The 8,112-nt window shown below is 39.7% G+C and overlaps 1 long non-coding RNA gene across 1 annotated transcript in view, besides 1 other annotated feature; it reads right to left on the minus strand.

The window, feature by feature from the left end:
* ZNF474-AS1 (ZNF474 antisense RNA 1) overlaps positions 1–8,112 on the minus strand; it is a 41,478-nt gene that overhangs the window by 5,690 nt on the left and 27,676 nt on the right. The window lies entirely within an intron of this gene.
* Positions 1,908–2,202: a silencer, noted in NCBI's record as "tiled region #13182; HepG2 Repressive non-DNase unmatched - State 24:Quies, and K562 Repressive DNase matched - State 9:DNaseU". NCBI's record gives its function as "represses a minimal TATA promoter and a strong SV40 promoter by Sharpr-MPRA in HepG2 and K562 cells {active_cell/tissue: HepG2 | K562}" and the evidence as "EXISTENCE:reporter gene assay evidence [ECO:0000049][PMID:27701403]".

Here is an 8,112-nt window from a genome sequence, read left to right on the forward strand (position 1 = left end):
CACAGCAGAGTTTGAAAAGCATTGCTCTAATAGATGTTTTTCTACATCTTTTTAGCCAGAACTTGGTGACAAGGCTATCCCCAGATGGAAGGGAAGATGGGAAAATCATCTTTTTTCAGCCTCTTTACTGGAAAGAAGAAAGGGCCAGTGAGATAGGAAATAGATGTTGGGTAGACAATTCCCAGAGTCTGCCATGGTATTTTTCCAGGGACAGGGTGGTACAGAATGCCATGCTCCCTACAGTTCACTGTGACTCTCTGAGTTCGTACAGCCTATGAAAGCTGTCCAGAGAATGCAGCACTGGCCTCACCAGTAGTATTTTTAACGGCAGGTTGAGACTTTAACCACGTGATTTTGGAGAGGTTTCTTGTTTTTATAATCTTGAGGCTTAAGAGAACCATCTGACTCAGGGGAATTCAAAGGAAAAATATTAAAGCTGGTATAATTGAAGGGAAGGTGAAGACTGTAAAATAACAGGTTACTTTTGAGTTTTGGTTTGCATGAAACATAAAATCTATTCTCGCGTGTACTTTTTTCTCTGCTATACATTAGTTTTCTGGCCTTATTGAAAAAATATACTAAGAGGATTGTTTATGAATATGAAATAACTGCCTTACAGAATTCTAGTTTATTAAATGAGAATTGTGCTGTTTCTAAATTAAGCCATTAATAAACAGTCTTCTTAAGTGTTTCATAAAGTAAAACTGTAATAAGCTTTCCAATAATACAAAGTAATAAAACATGAGAGTAAAATGGCAGATAGAAAAAAATAATAAAATAAAGGAAAAATGTGGCACATGTTTTAATCTTGGGGTAAGAACCTTGTAAACTCTAATTTAAGCCAATCTCAGTTTGACTTCCTGGTGATTACATCATGATTTACATGTGGTCGCATAAATACATCTGAACACTCATTTAGAAGCCACCTGAATGAGTGATTTTTCCTGCTGGTTATTAAAAGGCATGTTGAGAATTAATCTTGGGCCACATTTCCACCTTCTCCTAACCAAATCCTCATTTTGTTTCATTCATGGAAAATATATATTCCCAATGAACCTGTATCATTGTTGCCTTACCAGTTTGATATGATAGAATAAATTGGATTTAATCCCAGAGAAACAGACATGTTTTCAGGGAAAAAGCAGAGGAGGCTTCAATATAGAAATGTTTTTTTGACTTCAGAAATACTGCACATACTCAATAGTGTGTCCTTAAATTGAGAGCAAAGATGTATCAGCAGTCATATGCAGGAGAGCAAAGAACTGGGGACAGGTCACTCCTTACATCACTTGGCATGTTTTAGGTGCATATAGTTCTCATCAAATTGGCTGGGAGGCTCCCACAGAGATCTGCAGGCAAACTGGCACCCACTAAAACAATTGTGAATTTCCATAAAAATCCATGCCATGGGCGCCAAAGCAAACTTGTAAAAATTGTCCACTTTCAGGCAACCTGGACAAAAACCTTAGGAGGGCTGGAGTCATTATCAAAAGGGCTCTATAAGAGTCAAGAGAAATGTATTCCTGGTTTATTCAAATGCAGGTTCTTGTAAATGGCACAGCCACGGTGAGCCAAATTTGCATTTCCTACCAGGAGCTTGGATTAAGCTCAGCCTAACCTGGCCAGTTAAAACAATGAGACCCTTTTGGCTCTTTTACCTGGGATGCTAAAGGAAAATTTCAGAAATGTGATGATTCTGGAACTTAAATTTAAAGATTTGGGTATTAATTGGCAATTTTGGAGAAATCCTATTTTTAGCTTTTCAGATAGATTGCATCCATTGAACTAAAAGAGAAATAATATTCTCAACAAAGCAATAAAAGCAAGTTTAATTATGAAACTCAAAAATTTAAGCATATTTTTTCCTTTTTGATATCTGAATTTCATATTCTCATCAAACGTGAGTTACATCCAGTCAGTTTAGTGGTAAATCAGAATGTCACCACTTGACCTTGGCAAAGTCACCTGGTAATGAGGATGAAAGGTACATGGAACAATTTGTGTCTATCTGAGTCACTGAGTTTTCCTTCAACAGCACAAATGTGTCATCTGTTTTGTCATGGCTTGTCTTGAGCAATAGAAGCTGTGGTGGCCACAAAGAGGAATGGGAAGGGCACTGGTTACAGGCCAGGAGGCAATATTCACACGTAGATGTACATCTGTAAATGCATAGACTTTCTGGGAGGATACACAAGAAATTGGTAATGGAAGTTGCTGCTGCAGTAGGGTCCAGGAATGGGAACCTGGTGAGTCAGGGGTGGAAATAGAATTTTTTTTTTATTTTTCAGTTTTGTACTGTATATATATATATTAATATATATGTGTGTGTGTGTGTGTGTGTGTGTGTGTGTGCACACATACTGCCCATCCAAGAAAATAAACAATAATAACAAAAGACAGAGTGAAAAAGGCCATATTTTCATTGGCTCTACTTTAAACTGGGTGGATAATTTTTTCCCCTCTGGACTTCAGATGTCTCTTTTCCAAAATAAGATGGAATGGAGTTTCATCTGCAAAAATAGCTAATATTTCCCAAAGCATTGACTATACAATAGTATAAATAAAATTTTCCATTCCGAGTCTGATGTTGGAGAGATAACATATTGTTAATAATAACAATGTGAAGCATAAGCACTATCTTACTAGCCAAAAAGTTGAAAATTCATGGTTGCTTATTGAAGAGCTGCTCTGGGAAGGAGCTTTAGACGAGAACAAAGGGAAAGGAGAGGTGACTTGTGGTGAAAGCTGAGGGAGGACAGGAGAGCTGGGTGATTCCAGGTCCAGAGGATATAACAAATAGGGCATATGCAAGAGAGAATCTGGTAAAGACCAGGTTCACCTGGCTGGGATCATCACTTTCGCAAGAGCCTTCGCCAGTCTTTTGCTTTATCTAGGAGCCAGCTGACCTCATCTTATTTTCCTATAACTTGGCTCTGACCTCACACCTCAGAGTCTGTACTTGCCCACATATCAGACAACCCCTAGCTTCATTCTGTCCCACTCTAATTCGATTACAAATTTCACAGGGAACACTTAGTCTCAGTTCTCTGTCTTTGCATTTTCTCTAGCTAATTTTTGCATTGCAGAAGTGAGTTAGCCCTTAGTCACATGCAACTGAATGTCTGCAGCTCAGCTGCTTGGGGCAGGTGATATGGAAAAAAGCGTGGGCCGTGAAGTGAGTCAGGCAGGGCCAGCGTGCACATTTCCAAGGTGTCCTCACATATCGGCTGTAGAAATATGAACAAGCTATAGAGACTCTCTGTGCCTGCTGCTTCGTTTGCAATGGAACCCCTTGGTTATGCACCGTGAATCTGGAAAAAAGCCTGTTGACTCAGCCTGTTCTAGAAAGAAAACATTGCCACTCAGAGTCTATTTTACACCTGGAGAGTTCAGCACACAAGCCTCAACCTTAGCATTTACTGATGTTTTGGACCAGATAATTTTTTGGGTGTGGAGGGCTTAGTTGTGCTTTTTAGGATGTCTGGCAGCATCTTGTCCTCTATCCTCTAGCAGCACTCCCCTTCACCCTATATGTGACAACCAAAAATGTCTGTAGACATTGCAGAATGTTCCTGGGGTGGAGGAATTATCACCATTTAAGAATCACTGATCCAGAGGATGTTTTCCTATGAAGTTTTATTTTGGTTCATATGAAGTCAGCCTAGGGTGAGTGTCTGTACAATATTTTCTTTTTCTAGCATCCTCATCCCTTACCATGGGCCCTCAATTCAGCCTCATTAGGTAGTTAACAAGGACTAGAGTGGCATGGTACAGTCTTTATCTGAGTCGGCTTAGGGCTTTCAGGGTTCAAGGAAAGCCTCTAAAAGGTAAATAGACTTAGTCTTGCTGATACTGATCATCTCTTGGTAAAACCTTCATGTATTATTACTCTAACCAAGTTTCTATTTTAGCAAACATCTGCAGGAAATTAGGAAAGGAAGAGACAGAAAACTCCACCTGCCATAGCAAAGGGCGATCCCAATAGCAAATTGCCTGGCACGAGACTTGGCATGCAGCAAGAATAATCTCCATGTCTCAGAATACAGTGCTCCCTACTAACCAGCTCTCATCTCTCTCTCCACTCATTCACAGTGGTGACAAACAGGTTCCACAGCAAGCACTGTGGCTGTGACTTAGGTCTTGAACTCTTTGCTTCTTGGATGGATTATATTCATACTAATCAAGTCTTGAAGTCAGCCTAAAAACTTGGTACATTTCTTTGCCTGTAAAATCAATGAGGTGTTTAAAGGAGAAGAGAATTTCTAGTGGGTGGGAGGGCAACAGTTAAATGTATCAAAGTCATCGTGGGTGATGGAAACCAGGAAAATGTCTTGGCTGAGCCGATTGGGAGCGCACCAATGATGTTCTCAGAAGATGCTTCAGTGAGAGAAGCAATAGAAACCACATGATGGGGTACAGAGGTGATTAAATGTGTGTATGTGTGTGTGTGTGTGTGTGTGTATGTGTGTGTAAAATAGAGCCAGGGGCTTGGATCACTCCTACTCAAGAAGTAGGTAGGAACACACAGCAAATGCAGATTATTTTCTTTTAAGATAGAGGACAGCTGAGTCCGTTTAAAAGTTGAGGGGAAGAAGCCAACAGAATAGAAGAAACTAAAGGTGCTAGAGAGGAGAGGCTAACCTGGGGGGGGGGGAGGGGGCAAATTACCAGAGAGAAATATATCCCTTTCTCTGAGACTGGTGGAAAGAAGGACAATTAGAAGGAATTTCCTTATAACTTACTATCTCTAATTAAGGAGTTGAAAAGCACTTCATAAAACACATATGAAAACATCAAATATTAGACTATTATCAGCCATGAACACTCTAATTTAAACCAGCTTTAGAAATCTTTGAGTGATAAACTACTGATTAAATATTTATTGTTCACATGCCATAAGGTCTTGGACTTCTGCCAAATCTCTAAAAAGATGCAAAATTGTTTCAAAATGTTAACATTAAAAGGTGAAAATCTTTAAATGTGAATCTGGTCTTAACATCTTGTAACTTTGGTTATCTTCAACCCACTTGTCACTATTATCTTTTTTAACAAAATAAGGTACGTGCCCAGCATAGTAGGCAAATATTCACTGAGAACCTACTATGTAAAGCTGCTCTGGGTCCTGATTTATGGGTGTTGGGAAAGTTAGGAAAAGAGGTGGAAGACTAGGGTAGAGAACTGAGCCAGGGCAGCCTGCAGAGCCAGGATTGTGATGAGTTGCCCAGACTCACAGCAAACATTTAAAACCTAGACTCTCAAGTCCCTGAAACAGGAGGCTTTACAACACAATATATACAAAATATTGTATTATCTGTGAAACACTAGATATAACACTAAAGAAACATTCCCTGGCCATAGGAAGGGAGATCAAAAGACAGAAATCTTTCTATCTGTCCTGGCAATGTTTTTATTATGGCAAAGATAAAGCAAAGGCGTCTTCTGACGATATTTTTTTTTCTTGGTGTCAGAATTTAAATCTGTGCTACATAAACAAGTAACTAATATTCTCTACTTAAATGCTTCATCAATTTAAAAAGTCAGACCAAAAATATCTTTTTGCCTGAGGACAGTTGGCTGGACTAGATGCAATTTTGAAGTCCACTTCAGCTCCAAGAGTTCTATTTCTATGATAAAACCACTCAAATACATAGAAAATATCATAAATTTATTGCCCCTTTTCAAGCAAGTCCATTTTTCTCTTGAACACACTTAAGGGAAAATTTGCCCCTCTCTTTTGTTTAGGCAATCTGTGGAGGATTACCATGGTTTCTGTGGCCTCCTGGCCACTTTTTCTGTACATCAGTTTGGCCGTGAGATCATCTGAGGCCAACACTGTCAGCTCTCTGGATCTATGACCCTCAGCATGCATTCCCCATGGAAGCAGTGAAAATTGGTTTCAAAGGTGACATAATCTTAGATATTGCATTTGTTTGTGGCGGGCCAAAGAACCACAGTACATAAACAGATATAAGGTATATCTGTGATACTAAAATTTCATGGTGGGTGAGGGAAGATTAGGAAAATAAACCTTAAAAGTCTTTGTGGCAGAGGGCACTAACACAAAAAAGTTGAGAAACACTATCTTAGGGCAAGGATTCCTTGAAGATTTAAGATCTGATGGACAGGACTCCGGTGCATCAAATACAATACATTTTTTTGAGTTTTAAAATATTTAAAGTGCACCCTCTCCTCCTTTCCTTCGAATCTACTACTGAACACTTTTTGCACTATTTTAAATGTAGACATTTTACAGTTCAGTCTAGTACAGTATATAAAACTCAGTTTATACAAAGCCTGTTCTTGTGACAAAAGGCGTATTTGAAAAATGACTCTCTCTTTTGAGGTCAGACTCATAATAAAAACATTGCCAGGACAGATAGAAGGATTTCTGTCTTTTGATCTCCCTTCCTATGGACAGGGAATGTTTCTTCAGTGTTATATATAATGTTTCTTCAGTGTTTCTTCAAGCCTCCTGTTTCGGAGACATGAAGGTCTAGGTTTTAAATGTTTACTCAGTCTGGGCAAGTCATAGAAAATATTATTTATTGGGTATGGGAATATGGCAGCAAGATCTAGCAGAAGGCAGCGAAGGGAAGCCATTTGGGCACCAGAAAGATACACATGTCCATCCCAGATTTGCTTTGGAATAGCCTTGTCAATGGGGCAAGTTGCTTAATGCTCTTGAGCCTCAGTTTTCTAATCTGTCAAACAAGGATACTAATGCCTACCTTGTAGGATGGTTAAAAGATTTGAGATAACGGATGTCAGGTGGCTGGAACTTGCTGTTTCGGAGTTAGGCGATAAGAATGAAGTAAACAATAATTAGGTAGACAAGAACAAGGCACTCAGTGCACCTATTTTGCCAGACTTCACAAACATCCTGTTTGGATCCCTGCTGCTGCCATTGCAATTTTTTTTTCTCACAGAATGTAGTCTCTGCCAAGTTTAAATAAACTCCAAAGGATTATTGGTAGCTTGCAAAGTAAGATTTGGGCTTTGCATCAGTGAAGAGTCTTGAGGATAGGCAGAGATACCAACAAGGAGAAGCATTTCTCCTGCTCCATGAAAATGTGATTCATTCCTTCAATGAAAAAGTCAGGGGCTTGTGCAGGCACAACAGCTGTGGTTTTATGAAGGGAAAATAATCCAGAATTCCTTGTGGTGGGGCTGCTCCCACAAGGGGTCAGATCTGGATTATTGCTGGAGGCTGGCATCATCCCACAGTGACACAAGCATGATTGGATATCACATAACTTGAAATAACTGGCAATTGTTTTAGGTGAGAAAAGCTCAAGCAAGAGCAAACCAGACCAGCTCAAGTAAAGGCTTCAGTGTCTTTGATCTGGGTCTGACTTGAATGCCTGGAGTCAGAACAGAAGAAGGAACACGGTTATCTTTGAAGCTCACACTGGTTGCTGGTTGCCCACTCAACAGATGTGAGCAGTTTAGTTGTCACCATAAATCAAGGGCTCCCCCACAATGTTATAAATAGGGATGGGTAAATATTTTGGATTCATCAACCTCCAAGTATGCCTCAGATGTTTTGGGTTCAACTAAACAGAATACATCATGCAAAACACATACCCTCCTTGATTTTTTAGGACCGTATGTGATTTATGGAAAATAGAATCCATATGTTTCTGCTTCATTTACACTTAAATCTTCAAAAGGTTGTGTGTTGTAAGAGCTTTTTGATGTCGAAGATGCCTCTGCGCATGCTTAAAAAAAAAAAAAAATACGAGCAGCTTAAAAGTTTTGGTCGCTCGGAAAGACCAGAGAGACACAGAGACAGGGAGAAGGAGACAGAGACAGAGCACCCAGGAACGCCTGTTTTGCCAAGATGAAATACATTTGAACACCAGGAAGTTCAATTCTGACTGAAACTATAAACCCATGAATTAAAAATGAGTCCAGAATTTGGGAAGAAACAAAGGCTCCACTCCAGCCAGTTTTAGAAGCAGCTTCGATGAATACAGAAAAGCAGCTGGCAACTCAGCCACAGCACCAGGGAAGAGACGGCCGTGAGTGCACCATCAGCTACAGCTAACAAAGCCTGCAAGCTCTGTTATTCTTGGGCCTCCTAAGAGTTGCTCCAGCCAGGATAGAGACTCT

Source organism: Homo sapiens, chromosome 5 (genome assembly GCF_000001405.40).
Source record: "Homo sapiens chromosome 5, GRCh38.p14 Primary Assembly".
NCBI lineage: Eukaryota > Metazoa > Chordata > Mammalia > Primates > Hominidae > Homo > Homo sapiens.